This window comes from Homo sapiens, chromosome 5 (assembly GCF_000001405.40).
Source record: "Homo sapiens chromosome 5, GRCh38.p14 Primary Assembly".
Lineage (NCBI taxonomy): Eukaryota > Metazoa > Chordata > Mammalia > Primates > Hominidae > Homo > Homo sapiens.
Window position 1 is genome coordinate 38,638,194 of NC_000005.10, and position 22,786 is coordinate 38,660,979.

A 22,786-nucleotide genomic window follows, 5' to 3' on the forward strand; every position below is an offset into this window, starting at 1 on the left:
GATCTGATACTATCTCCAGGTAGATCGTGTTGGACTTGACACCCAACTGGTGTTCACTGCTTTGTGGTGGGGAGAAACTCCCACACCTTTGGTCACAGAAGTCTTCAGTGTGTTGATTGTTGTGGTGGTGTGAGAGTGTTAGGGGTGGCGAATATCTGGGTTATTGATGGGAAATACGTACAGGTCTGCAGCAACCTCAATTCTTGCCTTCCCAGAAGAAAGAGTTCAACTGAGGGGCATAAGGCAGAGAAAGAGACTGAGGCAAGTTTCAGAGCAGGAGAGGACGTTTATTAAAAAGCTTTAGAGCAGGAAAGAAAGGAAAGTACACTTGGAAGAGACTCAAGTGGGTGCTGTGGAGGTCAAATGGGACATTTGACCTTTTGACTTGGGGTTTTATAGGTTGGCATACTCCCGGGGTCTTGTGTCCTTTTTCCCATGATTATTCCCTTAGGGTGGGCCACCCGCATGCACAGTGGCCTGCTAATACTTGAGAGGTGAGCATGCTCAGCGTGTTTACTGGAGTTGTTCAAATTCTTGACTGTGGCATTCTTCTCTTTTCCAGTGGAATGCTCCCAGAAGGTCATACTCCACCATTTTGTCTCTTAATGCGCATGCCTGAGCCTACTCACCCAATTCCTGAGCTGCTGGTTACCAATTTCAAATGTTTTCATCTGTTGTGAAATTGCCTCTCCCTTGCACCTGCAACCAATTATCATTTTTAGAGAGGTAGTGTGACAACTGCCGGACCATCACCTGATGGTCATCTGACATTCCTGGTGGGTCAGGAGGAGCCCTCTTCTGCCTGCTCATGCCTGGCTAGCTAGCTACCATAACAAAATCAGAGGAAAAATGCAGTTTCGGAGAGTTTTTCCTGAAACAAACGGTATTAATCTGTTCTTGGGAAATCTGCCCGAATGACCCAAACACCTCCCATTGAGAATCACCTGCAACATTGGGAATCCAATTTCAACATGAGGTTTGGAGGGGACAAATATTCATACCACAGCAGGCGTGTTTCAATGACTGCACATGGCCCATTTTGCCTTCAGACTAACATTCTGTGCATTTCCCAGTCAGTAGGGGTATGGCTGACATAGATCTAAATCTTGAGGTGATCCTAAACCCAGAACTTTTGTTATGAGCATCGACTTTCACCTTCACTCCACCAAGTCTCTAGCAGGGCTGGGTTACCAACAACATTGTCTTTGTTCACTGTCTTCTTTTCTCAATCCTCTTGCCTCTCCTTCATCCCTCCTGGGGAAGAAATCTTAGAAACACAAAATGCTAAAAAGAGAGAACAGGTGGGACCTCAGCCAGAACAAACGTCCTGGATTGCCCATATACTGATTAACTAATGTTGGCTCTTCTGGAGGTGGCAGCTGAATCTATTGCATATTAGCTGAATTGATCACCCTTAGACTGGCCCTCATTTGCACTCTGAGTTTATAGCAGCACTTTCCAAGTTTGGCTTTTTATCACAGCTTAAACAAATATTTCATGTGTAAAGTACAGAAAAGTGGGCCAATTGCTCTTCTCTGCCTTCTAAGAACAATGAAACTCCTCTCAAACATTTTGCAAGAAACTAACATAATCTCCCCGACTGTGCTGGAAACAGAACACTGAAGAGCCATTTAAGAGTATGAGGCAGCCTGTGTGGTGGCACTGATGAAATGGCCAAGGAACAAAACGCTTGCCCAGATGAGGACTCTTGGTGATAATGTTCCCAGAGAAACAAGGTTCTGAACCGAACCTTTCATCCATTAAACCAGTGTTTGCAAAGTGGCTCCACTGTATCTCCCCATGTCTGATCCTACTGGAACATATGATCCTTCTCCTAAGAGCCTTATCCTTTACCAAGCAAGACAAACACACCCTTGAAACAAATAGAAATCGACTAAGTACTTAACTGAATGATATTGACTCTAAGTGAAGGAGAGTTTCCAGGAAGGGGAATCAACGTGGGCTGAGATGCTGAAAAGGTCTACATGAAGAAGACAGAGGTTAAGCTAAGCTGTGAAGCATGAGTCAGCTTTCAGTAAAGGGAGGAATGAGGAAAGGGCATTGGAGAGGGAGAGAGAGAGAGAGAGTGTGTGTGTGTGTGTGTAAGGAGCAAAGAAGATTCTAAGACAAGGAAGTGCTAATAAGTATGATATACACAATTCACTCAAAATCTTGAACTTCTCCTTGTATTTCATGCAGTTCTCTGCTCCAATTCCTTCTTCTCTCAAGCCCCACCCAACAATTCTATTTTGCTAACTAAATTTTTTTTTACTGTATCTTGTATCCACCAGCCTTATTAATATATGAACTTCAAGTCATTTCTAATGTTTCACATGCAAAAAGAGAGAAGATTCTTCTGTCTTCCAAAAAGAGAGAAGAATCTTCTGCTTTCCAAAAAGAGTGAAGATTCTTCTCTCTTCCAAGAAAGAGAGAAGATTCTTGTGAGTTCCCAGTACAAGGCTGATCACGTGCTCACTAAATACCACCCAGTGGCTGAAATTGAATTTATTTCCCTCAATTGCACATCTCTGAGAGGACCAAGGAGTTTCATGACTGCTATCCTAGCATTTTAAAGAGCAGATGTGAGGGACCAAAATGTTGGTAACAACTATAGAAGAATTTCTGTGAGAGACTAAAGCTCTGAAACTGTAGGGTACATTCAATAACTGGCATTGAAAAGAATGATTTTGTCTTTCTTTCCCTCTCTCTGTCTCTCTCCTTTTCTTTATTTCCAGAATTTTCCACAAATGAGTTCATTTATAAAGAGAAAGGCAAGCTTTGATGACAACACCTTCACAAAATGGAGGCCTTTGAAAACATTGGTCTGGATTGAGGAGTATGTTCCCCTGCCCGGATCTTTCAGTTCCTCCCTACAGTGTATTCAGCTTGATTCCAGCCTGAGTGTCCAGGCAGTTGGTACCCACAGCCCCTTCTGGGCCCCAGGGGAAGGCATCCTTCCCCTCCCTCCTCCCTGAGGCTCTGAGGTGGCTGGCCTCCTGCCTGGCTGTGCCAGAAAGCAGCATGACCACCAGCACTACTGTGGTTAGGACAAGAAGAAAATCTCGGGCATTCACAGCTAAACTATGGTTTGAGAAATGCTGGCGACTAAGGGTTGGCTGGGTAAAGGAATAAGAATAGCAGCTGCAATGCACTCTTTGACTCTGCCTCTCCCAAAACAGTCCCTAAAAGGACCATAGAAAGGATCACAATGTTCACGGCTGGGCTTGGCATAGTCTTAGTCCTGGGGTGAGGGCTGGTGAGAAACCCACAAGGGTTTCTTTTGGGGTCTTTCTGAGGGTACTAAAGGGAGTCTCATGGCCCATCCTACTTCTAAGTAGCACTCTTTTGGCCCTAAGAAAGACCTGCTGGAAGTCAGGATTTTTTTTCAGTCCAGTTTAAAATCCCAGATGAAATTAGCCGAGTGTGGTGGCATGCGCCTGTAATCCCAGCTACTTTGGAGGCTGAGGCAGGAGAGTCGCTTGAACCCAGGAGGCAGAGGTTGCAGTGAGCTGAGATGGCGTCACTGCACTCCAGCCTGCGTGACAGAGTGAGACTCTATCTCAAAAAAATAAAATAAAATAAAATCCCAGATGTCTCTTCCATTGAAGACAACGAGGAAGCATTGTCCCCTTTATTTCAGCCCTTGAGTCACATCAGCATGTGCTGGTGGGACCTTAGGGTCCGCATCACCAAGTCGAGTAAGGAATCCGTCCATGTTAGTTAGGTTTTTTCTTTCCATTGGTTCTTTTCACAGTAGAACCAAAGTAGAACATGCTTCTGCCACTAGTACACATGTCTGGCTTCTAGATAAGGAAACTAACTTTTTCTGTCCTAACTCACAGCTGTATTTAGGCTCTAAGGATCTGGGAAACAGAGATGTGACAGGTCCCCTTTTTCTGCTTCATCTTCTCTTTAAAACAAATAGGACTGGACGTGGGCAAACATATCTGTAGCAAAAGATTGAACACTGAATCAGGGTCATGTGCTCCATGCTCCTTAGTTATTTTTATTCATTTAAGGGAATGAGAAAAAGCAAAGGAGGCCCTCAGGACATGAAAATTAAATGTGGCAGCTGAAATTGGCATCTGCAGGCGCAGCTCAAGCAGGCTGGCGTCCGCTAAGCAAGGCGTTTAAAAGGAGTTGAGGCTGCTCTAACCAAACTGAAGAAAACCTGGGCAGGGGCTGTTTAAAGGAAACAAGTTCCCTCTCTTCTTAGGACTAAGCTTGCGTACTGTCTTCCAGCTAAGGAGAATAAGGGGGGCTTGTTTAAAGGGCATTCAATGTCAGTGACTGTTTTTTCTCCATAAAGACTGACAGTTTAAAGAGAATCTGTTGGCAGGCTGATTGCAATCTTGTTTGTACCAGAGCAATAGGAATCTTGGTTATAAATATGCAAAGCATCATGAAAAGATTAAGGCTCAGTGGCTGGGGTGCAAATTGGTCTGGGCTGTTTACTGCATGAGGAATGCCTTCCCTCCGTCCTCCTCTCCCAGTGCAATCCCACACACAGAGACAAATACCTTGCCATGTCCCACTCTCCTGCTTCCCAGGGCTTATTCTGGTGTGGGCCTGGCTCTGGGGAAAGATTCACACCTGGGCAGGAAGGACAAGGTGGAGAGAGGGCAGAGAAGGAAATGAGCTCCCTGACCCAGGACCTGGCCTGCTATAATTTTTGGCTCAAATAGAGTGGGTTGTTATTGGACTAACCACGAATTTGGGCCTGCTTCAGTGATTTCTGAGAGATGAGAGGAAGTAGTGAAAACTCAGTGTTCACTCCAGCCTGGACAGGTATCCTTAGGGCCAGGCCAAATTCTGTTTTAGAAAAGGGAGATTAACTATGTGAGGAAGTCCCAGGGTTGGCATCCTGGTTCTGTCATTTAGGGGGCCCTGGGTCCTTGGGCAAGTAGCTCGGCTCGTCTCCTCACACCACCTTTCTGTGTCCTGCCAAGGTTGTTGTGTGTGAGGATGAAAGGAGACAATGAGTATAATGCATCATGCCTGGGACATGGGAGGCACCCAGTCAATGGAAGCTATGACTAGAAGGTCTGAACAAGGAGTGGCAGCGAATGGTAGGAATTGTAGGACTTTCTCCTCAGTTCAGCTAAAAACTGGGTCCTTGTCACATGACCAGTTAGGCACGCAGACACTTCGAAGGGTGATGGGGTTATGAAATTTATTGGGCGAAAAGGAAAAAGACTCTCAGCAAAGTGAGAGGGGTTCCTGTTAACAGGCCCCCATCTCACAGATTGAATTCCAGGTTACCACACAGGAACAGGAGGGCCAGGCTCCTCCTTCCTGCAAACGGGGTCAATTTCCATGCCTCCATTCTGTTTTCCCAGTGCGCAGACCGATTGGAGATGCGATTCTCCGGGGACCGTTTATACTTGGCTGTCTCAGAATGGTCATTCACTGCACTGTCCATCTGTCCTGTGGCTTCCCAGGAGTTTAAGGAGTTTACTTAAAACCCTTTTCCTGGCTTTGCTCTGTTCTGCTGTTCAGTCTCCCATCAGCCTGGGCCTGCTTCTGCCTGCTGCCATTCTTATGCCAAGTCTTAATGTGCACTCGCTCCCTTCACGAGCACCTTTGAATTTCTAATCCTTTTGTCCCCACATCTCCTGCCTTGTCACTTTCCTCAAGGAAACAGGTTATAAAGCACTGGAATGGGGTGGAGACATTGTCTCCTTCATTCAGTTCAAAGTTCTTTTAAATCTTTGAGTGCCAGATCCCAGGAATTTCTTAGCCTACATTGGTGAAGGGATTGGCTCATGGATGCTTCGCTTGTTTCTGTAAGAAGCGAGTCTAGAATTTAGTCTCCTAAATGTGAAAGAGACAGCAAGAAGAATCATTCTATCAGGGCAGAGTGTAGGGAAACCCTAAGGCATAGTGCAGTAACCTGGAGCAAGTGGTCGCTGAAGATAGTTAGCACCCCTAAGCCAAGAGGGGCCGGGGAGGGACTGCCTGGCAGGGGGTGTGGTCTGCCATGGAGGGAGGCTGACAGCCTGGGTCCACCTTACTAGAGAGGAAAGAGGGGAAAAAATACCCTAGCCTCACTCTCCCCACTCCTCAGATCTGCCTGTGTTCCCTATGGGCTGAATCCCACAGGAGTTAGAGGGAATGGACCCCTGTGGCAATCCCTATGATCAGCCTTCCTCTCAGGTTGGAGAAGAATGAAGTGCACATCAACCAAACAGAAGAGAAGCAATTTGGAGGAGGAAAAAATCAGTTCTTCATGAAAGGATCACATTGATCTTGGTAAGTGTAAACTCTAGATGCCCATATGGTTTGGCTGTGTCCCCACCCAAATCTCATCTTGAATTGTAGTTCCCATAATCTCCATGTGTTTTGGGAGGGGCCCCATGGGAGGTAATTGAATCCTGGGGGCAGTTATTCCCATGCTGCTGTTATCATGATAGTGAGTGAGTTATCATGAGATCTGATGGTTTTATAAGGAGCTTTTCCCCACTTGCTTGGCACTTCTCCTTGCTGCTGTCATGTGAAGAAGGACATGTTTGCTTCTCCTTCTGCCATGATTGTAAGTTTCCTGAGGCCTCACCATCCCTGCAGAACTGTGAGTCAATTAAACCTCTTTCCTTTATAAATTACCCAGTCTAGGGTATGTCCTTATAGCAACGTAAGAACAGACTAATACACCATGTCAGTGAGCCCTCACCCTCTGAACATACAATCTACTAATTCCTACTAATTTCTTTTGCAGAGTCTCTCCAGCAAAATATCAAATTTCCATTGTACAATTTCTTGTTTAAAGAGACTGTCAGTTGTTTATGACTATATTCAGAAATTTACAAATAAATAAACTAGAGTTATTACAACAAACAAAACACTGTTTGGCAAGTATATCAGTAAAGATTGCAACAATGAAATGACCAAAGTCACCTACCTAGTGAGCAAAGAGCCTTACTATGATATTTTTCCATGTGGCTTACCTCCCTCAGAAAAGCTGAGGTATATCAAGCACACCTACCCCTGATACCCTATTCTTTGTAACACCTCCATCCATGAATAAAGTGGACATAGAGTTCCCAGTCACTTCCTTTCCTGACATGCTCCCTTTTTCTTCGCAACCACTGTCAGGTCAACCAAAGCTTGCAATTTCTAGTTTTCCCATCTACTGGATTAACAATGAAGAGCATAGACTTTTCTCTGGCAGCATTTTTTCGCTGTGCTGATTGAAGGTTAAAAATCCTTGTATGGAAGCTTTTTGTAGGTTGGGTTTCCTGGAGACAGACCCTGAGACAGAGAGTTGCATGCAGAAGGTTTACTGGGGGAGTGTTGGGAGAAACAATGTCAGGAGCTGAGGAAGGCAGGATTGGACAAAGACAGAAGCTGATCCACAACATAGCTGCAATAGGAGTCTCAGCCCTTCCTGTGGGAAGCTTGGGAGCTGGGATGGCCTTTCAGAGATGTCCTAACTGAAGCAAATGTGCCAGCCTTTGTTTCTTCACATCAGTCAGTTTCCTCACAGTCAGATGGCCACTGGCCATCTCTGGGAGAGAGTGCAACCTTAAGTGAAGGAGTTCTCTGTAGCCAAGGGCAATTCCCAGTGAGCCATGTAGTCATGAATTGTCAGCAGCTGAGAGTCCCAGCAGCTGGAACATGAGTGCATTGCCTCTTAAGAGAGAACCCTGATAGAGCCCCATAGCATCCCCTCATCCCACATAGATCCTCTCAGGTTCCAGTGAGTCTTGTTCCTTATGAAAACTTGGACACTCCAGTGGGATGAGCTCTAGCCTTGCTGCTGCAGCTGCCTTCACATTCGTAATGGAAGCTCATTGTCTTTATCCTCTACCACTCATTCTGGGTTTGTCTCACCCTCAGCCAGCACTTCCGTTGGTCTAGGTGGCTAGTCTGGGGGAGTGCCTAGACCCTCAGCCCTGGGGAATCTAAGGCCCTGGTTATCAGGTCCTTTTCAGGCTATGGCTGCTTTACCTGAATGTATACGCTAAATGTAGGCAGGGAAGAGCCACAAGACAGCACAGCCAAGGCCTTATGGGCAGGAAAGGCAAGCCCATGCCTAGGATAAGTATCAATCCTAGTCAAGATGAATTGTTCCTCCATCTAGGATTGAAAAGATTCAAACGGATTGATTTGGTACCAAAAGACTGGTTGCTTTCATTGAGTGAGGGTGCCATATTGGGAACCCATTACCCTTTGTTGCTGGCAGGTTGGATGGACACTCAGCAGCATCCATAGTTAAATCAGCTTTTGTGAGTGTGCTGTTGGGGCTATGCATGAGCCTTCATTTCTGCCATCATGGCTACTCTGCTCATGAATCCACTGTGTAAGCACTGGGGTGGAAAAGAAAAGAGGCTGCCTGATGTCTACTAGCCAAGTCAGTTTGTTATTTAGCGCCTCTTCTGCAGTATATGCTATCTGGTGGGCATTAACAAAATCTTCACAATTTGTGTGCACCCCCATAGGTTCATCCCAGTGCCTCCTCTGCAGACAATCTTGTCCTCAGTCTTTCAATTGTTTTCTTCCCATGCCCTGACAAGCGAACCAGGTAATTGGCTGCATACCCTGTCTCCAAGGACCATACCAACTCTCTTAGGTTTGGTAGCATGGAAACCAGACTCTGAGACAGAGAGTTGTAGGCAGAGGTTTATTTTGGATAGCACTCATGAGATACAACTTTAGGGAATTGAGGGAAGCAGGATTGGAAAGGGGACAAATTGAATGGGGTTTGACTTCTTTATCCTCATGTCAGTCATCGGCCCCAGGCTGCCCCAGGCAGGAGCTCATAATCTTGAATAAGACATAGCTTCAGCTTAGATGGCAATTTCTAGTAAGGGACATAGCTATGTATTGTCAACAAACAATATTTTCAATAGCTGGGAAATGGTTGTGTCAGCCCTGAAGAAGTGATCTAGGTAGTATACCACAGTATCCACTATAATGTTATATTATCAATTTTTTTTTTCCAATTCTGGTTCAGGTTTTATCTATCGCTGTGTAAGAAACTACCCAAAATTTAGTGACTTGAAACAATAATAAACAATTATTATTTTGCACTTTTTGTAGATCAGGAATTTAGGAGCAGCTTACCTAATGGCACCTGGTTACCTAATGGCACCCTCAACAGCTTACCTAATGGCACCCTCACTTGGTTCTGGCTCCGGGCCTCTCACAAGATTGTACACATGATGATGGCCAAGTTTGCAGTCATCTGAAGTCTTGACTGGAGCTGGAGACTACATTTCCAAGATGGCTCACTCATATTGCTAGTAAGTTGGTGGTGTCTGTTGGCAAGAAACCCCAATTCCTGGTCATATGAATCTTTCCATAGGGCTGTGATGAGAGTCCTCATAACAGGGCAGCTGGTTTACCCCTAAGCAAATAATCCAAGAGAGAGAAACGCAGAAGCCACAATGTCTTTTGTGACCCAACCTTGGGAGCCACATACCATCATTTCTACAATGTCCTGTTGCTTATGCATGTTGGCACTATTCATTGTGGGAAGAGACTACACAAGGACATGGATACCGGAAGGAAGCGACCACTGGGGTCATCTTGGAGACTGGCTACCACAAGATGTTTGACAGATCTAGAAGTCTTGAACCAAAGGTCGTTTTGTCAAATGCTCTTGTCATTTTGATAATAAACTCAGTGTCTTAGAGGTGCTAACAAAAAGGTTATATGTACCCAGAAATTGAAAGCGGCTGGAATTCAACTTCTTGAGTGCCATCATGTTTTTTTCCTGCTACATGGTTTAATAAAGTACATATAACTGTGTTTCTATAAAGCCGTCCATCACTGCAGTAATCTCCCATTACAGCAGATTTTGCCACAAATTTAAAAGATATTATTTCTTACCCTAGAAATAGTTTGCAAAATCATGTCATTGTGCTCAAGGAGCTTGTACCATGAAATTGCAACCTTTCTGATTTCTCACATTTTCCAGGATTCTATAGAGAAGCTTACATGTCACCATCTGGGAGATCTTTATGATTACTTTACCCTTTTATTCAGGATGAGTTATCTAAGTTTATGATTGGTAATTATACTTATGAGCAGTGATTAAGCTCTGCCAGCCAGCTGAACTTTGCCTGAAGGGCACTGCAAAGAAAGAAAAATACATAGGTCTTGCTCTTAAAGACATTAGTATCTTGTGAAAGCAAAAGCACAAATCCATTGTGAGCCCATAAGAACTATGCAGATGGCTTGGTGTGGTGACTCATGCCTGTAATCCCAGTACTTTGGGAGGCCGAGGCTGGTGGATCACCTGAAATCAGGAGTTCGAGACCAACCTGGCCAACATGGTGGAACCTCATCTCTACTAAAAACACAAAAAATAGCTGGGGGTGGTGGCAGGCACCTGTAATCCCAGCTACTCAGAAGGCTGAGGCAGGAGAATCACTTTGAACCCGGCAGGCAGAAGTTGCAGTGAGCCAAGACCACGCCATTGCACTCCAGCCTGGGCAACAAAAGCTAATTCCGTCTCAAAAGAAAAAAAAAAGAACTACGCAGCTGTAGCAACTAAATGGGAAGCTTCCATGGGAATGAAATCTTAGCAAAGCTCTCCTGGCCTCTATCTCTCAGCAAAAGCAACCCGATTTGAAAATAGAAGAGCAAATCTCTCAGCTAGCTTCATGTCAGGGATGGACTGGAGGAGAGGAGAGGAGGGGCCAGTCTTTGCTGCTTGTCACCTTAGTGGCCTGGAGGAGTCAACATCAGCTATAAATAGAATGCTGCCTCCATGACGCCCTCTCTACCCACCAGATCACACCACATCCCCTTGACTGAGGGATGCCCTTTTGCCCAAGGCTGTAATTCATTTCCATGACTACCAGGAAGGTCAGAACAAACACATTTCTAACAACAGGAGCCACATTTATTTTGAAGATAGAAAATCAATATCCTTATTATGTGGAGGTATGTACATTGCTTTAGAAGCATTGTACTCAGGTCTGATAGAAAAAGTCTACGTGACTTGAACTTAGTTTACATGCTGAGCTTGGAATTGAAAGGGATGGTATCTTCCATTTATCCACTTAGTCATTCAACAAATTTATTGCTCATGATGGAACTGTGTTAGGCACAAAGAATCACCCAGAGCTTAACAGGATAAATAAATAGGGTGCCTGTCTTAAGGAACTCAAACAGGTGGGTAAACAGATAAATACAATACAAATTGATACATCCCATGATAGAAATATGCACTGAGCTTTGGGGGAAAATCTTGAATTCGATAGGCAAACAAGGGGAAGAAAGTGTGCTCTGAGCAAAGGCAGCAGCATTTTCTAAGACACAGAAACCAGAAAGAACGTGATTTGTTCAGTTAATTACTATGGCTAGAATTTCAAGAATTTATGGGGAAGGGATACTAGATGGGCTTGACATGGGTCTGTCAGGACAGGTGTAGGAAGCCCTACTTAAGAGGTGAGATTTACTCTGAAGGTAACTGAGAACTTCTGGAGAACCTTATGGAGAGTGTAATGATTAGGTTTGTGCGCCCCCCCATCCCCCCATCCCCCCCCCAGAAAACACTCTGGAAATGCAAAAAGTACAAGAATGGATGAGAATAAATCCCTAGGGAACTCCTGCATTTATGGGGAAACAGAGCCAAGAAGAGGACTTAGAAGTGGAAGCCACAGAAGTAAGAAGAAACCCGAGAGGGTAGTTTTATGGATTCAAGAAATAGGAAGAGACAAGAGTGCCCAAGGCCACAGAGCCCAAGAAAGGAAAGGATTGGGCTGGGTGCGGTTGCTCACACCTGTAATCCCAGCACTTTGGGAGGCCAAGGCGGGCGGGTCACCTGAAGTCAGGAGTTCAAGACCAGCCTGGCCAACATGGCGAAACCTCATCTCTACTAAAAATACAAAAATTATCCGGGCCTGGTGGCTTGTGCCTATAATCCCAGCTACTCGGGAGGCTGAGGCAGGAGAATTGCTTGAACCCAGGAGGCGGAGGTTGCAGTGAGCCGAGATCCTGCCACTGCACTCCAGCCTGGGCAACAGAGCAAGACTCCATCTCAAAAAAAAGGAAAAAAAAAAAAAAAGAAAGGCAAGAATTGAAGTGTGTTCATTGGATGAGCAACGAGGAAGGAATAAGAGCCTCAGGGGGAAAACTTTCTGTGAAGCAGGAGAGGCAAATGCAGGTAAGGAAGAAATGAGGAAGAGGAAGAGGAGACAGCAAGTGCCACCTTTTCTAAGATCCTGACTCTGAAGAAAAGAAAGTCTCTCTTTAGATGAAAATATGTACTTGAGAGGTTTTGTTTTCATTTTTTTTTAAAGATGGAGATTTGAGAACATTCCTGTGTGAGTGGAAGATACAGGAAAGAGTGTGGGTGATTACAGGAGCAAATTTCCAGAGATGTGGAAAGGAAGAGATCTAAAGCATGGGTGGAGAGCCTTGCCTGAGACTGGAGGAAGGACCCCTCTTCCGTTGCCCAATGAGAGCCGCCGGGCTTGGGGGAGGGGGAGGGGGAGGGGGAACGAATGCAGGTGAGGGAACAGGCTGCGTGGTGCTGCAGTGGGGGTGCTTTTGTTCTCACATCGTTGTCTGTAAGGTAGGGGGTAAAGTCCTCCCCTGGGTGTGCAAGGAAGTTGTGGATGAGCTTGAAGACATTGAGACAGGTAGGAAAGTTTGAAACAGACACTGTGGAGAATGAAAGAAGCTGTCCAGGAAAACCTGGAAGAATTCTCGTCTTAAGATGAGGTCTCCTTTCTTCAAATACAAGAAGGAAAGAGAAAGTTTGATTCCTTTAGATTCTGTGATGTTAGGCAATGTAGGTAACTTCCCAGGCTTTCTTCTTCCTTGTACGAATTGTTTCAACTTTCAGTTCTGTTTCTTTTCTACTCCTTAATAAAAAGAAAAAAAGAACTATACATCAGCTAACCGGCAGTGTGTCACGACCGAGGAGAGATGGCACTTCCTCTCTACGTGCCTGTAAAAACAAAGTGACTCAGCTTCTGGTATATTAATTAGAGACCAGTTTACTTCCATGGAAATAGAGTCTATTGTACCATCTTTATATATTTAAACCTTTAGTGACAACAACTTTTGGAATGCATCCAGAGCAAAACGCTGGAGAGGCTCTTAATGTACAACTCTTGTTTTCCAAAGTAGACAGTTCCATTCAACTCAATCAGCTGTTCGTGAAGCACCATCTATGCGCCTATAAGGATCTTGTATTATAAAATCTAGATTGAATGCTCCAGTTTTGTTTAGGGCACAAATAACAACTTTATGCCATTTTGTGCCTCATTTGTGGAAAATATTATGATCACAGTCATGGCATAATTCTTAAAAATTTAACTTTGATCATTCTTCCTTTTAGAATTCTTCCATGATTAAAACAAAACAAAACAAACCTCAAACCCTCCTCTAGCTGACACTGCTCTCTTCGACCAGTGCTCCCAAGAGTGAAATGAGGAGAGGCTTAAACACGAAATCAGTGCATGAGAATGGAGAAGAAAATAATAAACTTAAATCCCCAAACCAATTATTTCTCAGAAACAAAGCCTGTGTCTCTTTTGCTTGCTTTTATTTCTGAGAACACAGAATCCCTGGGCTTGTTGCAAGGGCCATTCCCACTGAGCTCTCAGGAAACTACCACAGCCATTACTGGTTCATGTGGGGAGCCTGACTCCCCGGCATGGTGGAGTACAAAATCCCAGTACTTAGAATAGTGCCTGGCACAAGGAGGGGCTCAATAAGTATTTTCTGAATTAATTAAATAATTCAATATAGAGGTCTCGTGTTGATTCTCTTTTCACAATCATGCATTCCCAGAATATCAGGATGGGTAGCGGCCCGGATTCCTGAACATCTGAAAACCACAAAGTTCCCAGCTCAGATGGTGGAATGATGCTTTCTCTTTCGTTAGACTCATGGCTAAGAGTGTGACATTTGTTATTATTCCTGCCTGTTCCAAATGAGGCTGAAGAGACCTTGGAGGGGTTGTTGTCCCTTTCATTCTCATGAGATGAACAGTTGTTTTCGGTAATGTCAATGGTGTCGCAGAATCATGTATTTGCAGGCTAAAAGATCATCTGCTTAAGCCAATTTCACAATAATAGAATCTTTTGAGCCACTTTTAAACAGAGTGTAACCTGTCGAATCCATATATATTTCCAAAATCAAATCATGCTAGCTCTTATTAGAATAATCATATGCCTTATTTTTCAAATGGGATACTCAGATACTGAAAGGGAAAGCTGTTGATAATTACACAAGACAAAATGCATAAATTGAGACTATCCTAGGAAAACCAGAGTGAATATATGATTATTCATAAGCAATTGATTTACAGGATATTTAAAAACATGAGGTCCACGGAGAGAGAAATAATTGACAAGGGTGAGAAGCTTTTAAGGAGTTTTTCTTCTTTAGCTATTGGACAAAGTTTTTCATAAAGTATCTCTTGTTGGAAAGACCAGTCCTCAATCACTGTTGGGAACCTATTTTGACTTCAACAAACTCCTCGATATTGACATTCACATATTCTTACCACATCCAGCCTGCATGCTACATGTGAAGACTTACAGATGCCAGCAATCATCAATTCAGAACAACCTTTGTTTTTTCCTGAGCTAAATAAGTCCAAGACCTTTATACCACCTTCCTTTTTTTCTTATTTTTTAATCTTTTAATCAGACTTTTTAGTCTTCTTTGTGCCTTTTGTAAGTTCTCTCTGGGTCCCACTAATATTTGATATCCAGAATCACACCTAACATTATAGGAAGGATCTGGTTGGTGCTATTTCTACTCTACCATAGCTGTGAAAATTACCTTGCAAAGAGAATGCAGCACTTGATACTCTAACAACAATTATAGGTCAATATCAGGCCATGAACATTCTGTTAAGAACTGAAAACATCTTAGAAGCACCTGTTAAGCTTCTATCTCACTATTGTCTTTTAGAAGCAATTACAGCTCACTGCAGCCTTGACCTCCCAGGCTCAAGCAAGCCTCCTGCCTCAGCCTCCCAAGTAGTTGGGACTACAGGTATGTGCCACTACACCTAGCTAATTATTTTTTATTTTTGGCAGAGATGGGGGTCTCACCATGTTGCTCAGGCTGGTCTTGAGCTCCTGGCCTCAGGCAATCCTCCTGCCTCAGCCTCCTAAAGTGTTGGGATTACAGATGTGAGCCACCATGCCTGGCTTAACTGCTTATTATTAAACTTTTAAGTTACCATTCTTATCATTTGTGGTAAGGAGTTACCACAATGACCTCCAGTTTATCTTGTCTAAGGATTAGATATAAATGAGTTTTCTAATTTTGTGATTGTAGAGTGCTCCTTTCATAAGCGTTTGGTATGAAGAAAGCAGTTAGCAGACATTTGAATGTCACAAGGTTGAGAATGTGGGGATTGCATTGTGCTGGGGACAAACAGTGCCCAAAAGGCACACTTGCCAAGAAGAACACACTGATCTTTGAATGCGTGCATTGTACCCTCCTTGATTCTTGCTTGGCTGACCCAGGTACACAAACTCCAAGACTGGCAGGGCCTAAAGGGCCCCTCATTGGCAAATGAAATCCCCCCTTGTTCCAGGTGACAGGACTAGGCAGCAGTTTCTTCCAGTCCAGACAAACCTTCCTGAAAATGGAACATTGTGTCTCTACACATCATTTTGGTTTTAGTGAAGTCTGTGCCTCTCATCTGGTATGATTCCTTCCAAAAAGCAAGCACTATTCCTGTCTTCCAGATCTTTTTCAATGCAGAAGCTTAAAGAAGACACTAAAAAATGTGTTTAAGATCTCTTTAAACTGAAGTCTTCTGAACAAGTGAAGCAGGTATGTCACATTTTAATTCAAGCTGAAACAAGCCATTGAAGATTGAATCTTACCTCCTTTTACAAAGTAGATGGGTTCCAAAAACATTTGGGAGAGTTGAACTACCATATAAGGCCAAGGAATTTGTCATTTAAATGACCCTGTAGATGTCTTTTAGTAAAAGGAAGAATTTCTCTTTCTACTTTTACCTCATCCCCTTTCCTTTCTTTGATGTTTTGTATATCATATTTTCCAATATTGGGCTATGCAAAGTGAAAAATATTTTTAATGTTCCTAAGTCTGCAATTTATACTAAAGATAATTACTGTTATGCAAAAGGATGTGGAGGTATTTATGTCTTTTACACAGACCCTCCTTAGAAGACATTTATCTTCTTCCCTACCTGCCATCCTTTCTTCCCACACTCAATTCAAATGGAAGGTTGACCTTTTCAGGAGGCAAGATCATTATTCCAAAATCAGTGAAGTAATCATCATTTTCCTGGTGTGCCTTCTCTGCCATTCTTAGCTTTTGTGAGCAGAGCCCTGAAAACCAGGCTTTGCTTTGTCAGTCACACAGACAGAAAGTACATTTAGTCCTTTCATAGACCTATAGCTTATTGCAGACAGCAGGAACGACCCCAGATCTTGTTGGAAACAGCAACATAGAAATAGAAATCTATGGGATATGGCTTCCCTCTGTAGAGTTTTAAAATGAAGCCAAGAAGAAACAAGGTTCATATTTAAGGAGAATATTACCTCAAGGAACTCAACCCCACCTTAAAAAAATATCTAGTATTCATTTGACAAGAAATTAGCAGTTACAAGGAAGATCTAGCAAATGATGGTGGCTTTTCATTGTACATTCTTTCTTTTTCTTTTCTTTTCTTTTATTTTTTATTTTATTTTTTTTTTGAGGTGGAGTTTTGCTCTTGTTGCCCAGGCTGGAGTCCAATAGCATGATCTTGGTTCACCGCAACCTCCGCCTCCTGGGTTCAAGCGATTCTCCTGCCTCAGCCCCCCAAGTAGCTGGGATTACAGGCATGCACCACCACGCCCAGCTAATTTTGTATTTTTAGGAGAGATGGGGTTTCCCCACGTTGGTCAGGCTGGTCTCAAACTCCCAACCTCAGGTGATCCGCCCGCCTTGGCCTCCCAAAGTGCTGGGATTACAGGCATGAGCCACCACACCCAGCCCTTCATTGTACATTGTTAATACTATATTCACAGACCTGGTCCAGGGAGTCTCCCCAGCCTGAGTGAGCCAGAGCCACAGGCACTTCTGTGTTTGCCTGGAAAACGCACTGCTTTTTTTTTTTTCCTTTTATTCATTTCCTCCCTTCCTCCCTTCCTCCCTTCCTCCCTTCCTTCCTTCCCTCCCTCCCTCTCTCCTTCCCCATTCCTTCCCTCCCTTCTTTCCCTTTCTTCTTTCCATCTCTCCTTCTTCACATTTTTTTTGAAGAGAAAATTGTGGTGATAGGCAGTGAACAGAAGGGAGCTACCATCCCTGTAAAAACTTCTACTGATGTGGCCCACTGAAAGCTTGCCAAACTCTGTGGAGGCCAGCCAATGCCAAAGTTATAGATTGGTTCCTTTTATTTTCTCTAAAATAAAAATACCTAAAAGCCAGCAAACAAATCCCTTATATATGAGATGCAATGTTTTGCAGATCATGGGAGGTGGATAAAATTGGCTGAAGATTTATAGCATCTGTTGTTCACTTGTCAAGCTCCCATGTGCCCATATGACCTTCCCAATTTTGGTTTGGGAATCCATATAGTTCCAGAGAAGCTAGACTGAGTTAATCAGTTGATCCATACTTCTTTCTATGGAATGGTTACGGCTGAACGTGTGACCTTAACTAGTTCAAGCAAGTGATTCTCAGGACCTTTGCTGGGGATGCTGGGACAATGATACCCCTTAGTCTAGGTGTGAATGATGATGCACGTATTGTCCCAAGAGCTGCTAGCAGCCATCCGTGACCAACGGAATTACGAGATTAAGCCAATTTCATGGCAAGTAAAGCAGAGAGACAGAAAGAAATCAGGTCTTTGAGCCACTGGATTGAGCTTCACTGGAAACCACATCTACAAATAGATTTTTCAGTTGTGTTGAGTCAGTAATTCCTTTTATTGTTTAAGCTGAGTTGAGTTGGAGTTTCTGGTATATACAACCCAAAGATTATTAATTTGGATAAGCCACGTCTTTGACTAAAAGAGCCAATATGCGTGTGTTTGGCAGGCAGGGTGGGGGGATGACATACACACACAGAAAGAGCTCTTAATCTATTCACGATCCATTATACCTTTCTTTGGAGGACATACAGTGTATAAGATGTACTCTTGGTTGCAAGTGAAACTATTAGAAAATAATATGTTAGAACATATATAATATATATTAGAAAATAATCTATAAATTACATTCAGTGGTTAAAAGAAATAAGTTTTCAAATAAGAAGAAATCAATTAAAAAGGATGAGAGGCTTCATGGAGGAGGTGAGATTTAGGCAAGAACACGTAGGAGGTAGCTGGATGAAGGAGATCATCAAGCGAGCAACATGAGCCAAAAGGCTCTGGACTCTAAGACATCTTTAAAGTATTGTGACCCTCAAAGCCGCAACCCCCGTCACTTTGACTTTATATAGTATTCAGCATAGCTTCTGGTGATGAGATAATAATAAGCTGAAAGTGACCCTCTTTACTAAGAAAACCAATATAAGTCTCTTTGGCCATGCTTTATCACTTTCCCATATGCAAAAGTCTGGGTGAAATTCAACGGTCTAGTTGCTTTGCTCTCAGTTCCCTGCATAATTTCTGCCTCTGAGTTACAGGAAATTTCTGAAAAGCCATTTAGAGACAGATTGTAATATAATGCTCTTGAACATTTCACTCTAACAATCGATAAAGGCAGCACTCACTGCAGAAATAATCAAACACAGGATGGAATCTAATATGCACAAAGCTGATATTTTAACTAGACCCAAGAAGCCTTATGATTCTTTGCTCAAAGCTGTGGGCTGGTTAGTTTTCCTGCCTTTGTCTTATATTTTTATATACTTTCAAGAGCCAAGCTTTTTGAAGTAGCGTATAGGGATCTTATTCTATTTTAGTTGTTCAAGGTTGCAGTGAAGGTCAAATCTACATAAAAATAAGCATGCTGGCAACCTGCAAAGAATATCATATTCTAGGAAGAAATAAAATGACCATCATGACCCTGTATCCCCTGCCACTCCCTCCTCACTCTCCCCTTTTGACTCCTTAAGGAAAAAGGCTGAATGCTCATGGCCAGTATGTGCCAAGCAAATCAGGACTGCTTTCTTGAGAAGATAAGCTTTTCCAGTGAAAAGACATCCTGTAACTGTACTAAATCACAATAGGGTGGGGCATGGGGGAGATAGTGTGGAAACATTATTTTCATTCTATAATCTGGATTAAGAGCAAGATGAAAAGCGGCGTTTCCCATTCTTTCTCTTCTCACCATGATTATGTTCATCTTCTCTTTCTGGAACTATTGTCTCTGGATATGTCTCATGATCATCAGATCAACACCATCTATGAAGGATGCTTAATGTATCTTAAGTAATATTGAGTCATAAACAAAACATCCTTTGCATAAGATATCAAAAAAAGCATTCTCTCTATCATAATTGTTTTAATCTTTTGAAAATGTAAAAGAACTTATAGTAGCTAAAGAAATAGGATTGGCTGGGTGTGGTGACTCCTGCCTGTAATCTTAGCACTTTGGGAGGCTGAGGTGGGAGGATAGTTTGAGACCAGGAGTTTGAAACCAGCCTGGGCAACACAACAAGACCTCGTCTCTATACCAAATCAGAAAAATTAGCTAAGCATGGCGGTGCATGCCTTTAGTCCCAGCTACTTGGGAGGTTGAGGCAAGAGAATCTCTTGAGCTCAGGAGTTTGAGGGTGCAATGAGCCATAAATGGTGCTACTGCATTCTAGACTGGGCTGGGTGACAAAGAGAGACTCTGTCTCAGAAAAACAAAAAGAAAGAAAAGAAATAGGATACTTCAACTATTCTATAGCACTAGAAGCACTCAGAGGATTGGTGGGTAAAGGGATCTGGGTGTTGCCTTTAAGAAAAAGTTGGTGTTACGATGACTTATTAAATGAATGTCATTCTTTCCCTGACGCTACTCATTCCCACCATCTACCTACTCATATAATTATAACATTGGAAGAGAATAGTGAATTCAGATCTCTATGTATCTGAACTGGGATCAGGAAAGCTCAAAAGAGTATGATAGTGCAAAGACTTATTCCTTTGGGAGTGGGTTTTAAAGAAGTGTGATTTGCCCTAGTATATTAAAAGACCAGTGGCTCATCAGAAGTATTGAAGACATTAAAGGCTCAAGAATGGTCCAGGTAAGAGACCTTTTGTAAATCCTTACCACAGTTAATCAGAAATAGAATGCAAAGAATTACTACTCAACAAAAAAAGGAAATGAACTATTGATACTCAGTATAACATTGACAAATGTCAAAATAATTATGCTCAATGAAGCCAGACAAGAGTATATATCGCATAATTCCATGTATATAAATTTCTTGAAAATGCAAACTAATGTATAGTGACAGAATTTAGATCAATTGTTGTCTGGGGTAGGGAGCAAGTGTAGAGTCGGGAGGGAGAGATTACAATGAAGCAGGAGAAGACTTTTGGGGTTGAATCATATGTTCATTATATTAATTGTGGTGATCACTTCATAAGTATATTCAAATGTCAAAACCTATCAAATTGTATACCTTAACTTTATGCATTTTACTGTATGTCAATTTTACTGTATGTCAATCAACAGCTTAATAAAGAAGCTGTTTTTAAAATTCAGGAATTAAAAATAAATTATTAATAGATAACAGGGTGTGGGGAATTGACCAGGAGAGAAAAAAAGGCAACTAATTGACTGTTTTTCCCAGGGTCAGTCCAGACAATTTTACGAGTGTACATTCTTTTTCGGTTTCAATTTAGTGCCTCAAAAATGAGTTATTGTCCAGGTACTTTACTTTGTATCTCTAGAAAAGTGCTACACTTAAACCAAAACAAGTGGTTTATATTATAACCCTTTTTACTAATCTATTTTAAAATCTAAAGACATTCTTTTATTTTTACATGTATCATCATCACCTATGCCTCATCTACATATTAAGAATAGCTTATTTCTTAATACTTAATGCTTTCTATTTATTGCTAGGATTTTGGTGGAAGAGATTTTCCAACTCTTCATCCTCAAATAATACACATATAATAACAGTGGGTAACAGTGGAAAAATAAATGAGCACTAGGACTATTGATCGGGTTTTTTTTTTTTTTTTTTGAGACGGAGTCTTGTTCTGTTGCCCAGGCTGGAGTTGCAAGCTCTGCCTCCCGGGTTCACGCCATTCTCTTGCCTCAGCCTCCCAGGTGCCCGCCACCACGCCCGGCTAATTTTTTTGTATTTTTAGTAGAGACGGGGTTTCACCGTGTTAACCAGGATGGTCTCAATCTCCTGACCTCATGATCCACCTGCCTCGGCCTCCCAAAGTGCTGGGATTACAGGCATAAGCCATCGCGCCCGGCCCAATTGATCTGGTTTCTTAAAGAAATACTTGACAGGGAAGGAAAAGAATAGAAACAGACAGAAGAGGCCAGGAACAGTGGCTCACTCCTGTAATCCCAGCACTTTGGGAAGCCGAGGCAGGCAGATCATCTGAGGTCAGGAGTTCGAGACTAGCCTGGCCAACATAGTAAAACCCTGTCTCTACTAAAAATAAAAATTTAGCGGGCATGGTGGCATGCGCCTGTAGTCCCAGCTACTAGGGAGGCTGAGGCAGGAGAATCGCTTGAACCCGAGAAGCAGAGGTTGCCATGAGCCCAGATCGTGCCACTGCACTCCAATCTGGGCAACCCAGTGTGGGCGACAGAGGGGGGGAAAAAAAACAGACAGAAGATATATTACACGCAAATGTAATGAAAGGAGCCTGATGGGATTCTTGTTCAATCAAATCAATGGCAAGCTGACTTTTTTTTTAGGGGCATTTAGATACAAGTGTGTGGGAGATAATATTAACGATTTTTGTGAGTGGGAAATGGCATATGATTACACATGAAAATATCTACAATGCTTAGGTATGTCTACCAAGAAGTATGAGGCCAGATATGACTGAGGTCTGGGCTAAAACAGGAGCTAAAAATAAATTATTTAGGCAGTTAGGGTAAGAGAGTCTTCAGTAAGGTTTCCCTTTTAACAAAAAGCAGCCCCCAAATCATTTCTTTTCTAACAAAGAGCAGCCTGTAAAATCGAGCTGCAGGCATAGGTAAGCAAGCTAGAAGCTTGCACGGGTGAATGCCGGCAGCTGTGCCAATAGGAAAAGACTACCTGGGGGCCAGACATGTTCAACATGGAGGTTCCTTCTTCCGTTTTCCTTGTCAACCACGACTACAGTAAAGGAACAGGCAACATGGCGCAGGCAGCGTAGAGAACCTGTCTGCATAATAAAAGATCAGGGTGGGGTGGCCAGCTTCCTCATGTGCTATGTAAATGATACACCTGGTCCAACCAATGTTTGGGCCCTATGTAAATCAGACACCGCCTCCTCAAGCTCGTCTATAAAATCCCGGGCATTTCACTATGAAACCGGAACACCCGCCCAGGAGTCCCTCTCTCTCTCTCTCCTCCTGCCAGAGAGAGAGTTCTTTTCTCTTTCCTCTTGCCTATTAAGCCTCTGCCCTTAAACTCACTTCTTGTGTTTTGGAGCCCTCGATTTCTTTGGCGTGAGATGACGAACCTCGGTCATTTACCCCAGACAAGATGCCACTTCATTTCTACTTTTGTATATATTTGAATTTTTGCATAATTAAAAAAATTTAAAGGCTTTGTTAAACTACTAGTCACATTTTAAAAGGGGGATAGACAATCTTTATTTGTCAGATATTTTTAAATAAAGAAAAGGAAAAGGGGAGAGGATAAGTATGCGAGGTGTTAGATGTGTTAATTAGCTTGATTTAATACTTTGCAATGTATACATATATTAAAACATCACATCGTACACCAT

General features: G+C 42.8%; 1 long non-coding RNA gene across 1 annotated transcript in view, besides 1 other annotated feature; it reads left to right on the forward strand.

Moving 5' to 3' along the window:
* LIFR-AS1 (LIFR antisense RNA 1) overlaps positions 1 to 22,786 on the forward strand; it is a 114,431-nt gene that overhangs the window by 81,408 nt on the left and 10,237 nt on the right. Inside the window, exons 3-8 of the long non-coding RNA NR_103554.1 lie at positions 2,736 to 2,836; positions 6,157 to 6,252; positions 8,439 to 8,521; positions 9,040 to 9,242; positions 14,884 to 14,967; positions 15,672 to 15,759. This is a non-coding gene — a long non-coding RNA (LIFR antisense RNA 1). The remainder of the gene's footprint in view (positions 1 to 2,735; positions 2,837 to 6,156; positions 6,253 to 8,438; positions 8,522 to 9,039; positions 9,243 to 14,883; positions 14,968 to 15,671; positions 15,760 to 22,786) is intronic.
* Positions 22,114 to 22,408: an enhancer, noted in NCBI's record as "tiled region #9095; HepG2 Activating non-DNase unmatched - State 10:DNaseD, and K562 Activating DNase unmatched - State 1:Tss". NCBI's record gives its function as "activates a minimal TATA promoter and a strong SV40 promoter by Sharpr-MPRA in HepG2 and K562 cells {active_cell/tissue: HepG2 | K562}" and the evidence as "EXISTENCE:reporter gene assay evidence [ECO:0000049][PMID:27701403]".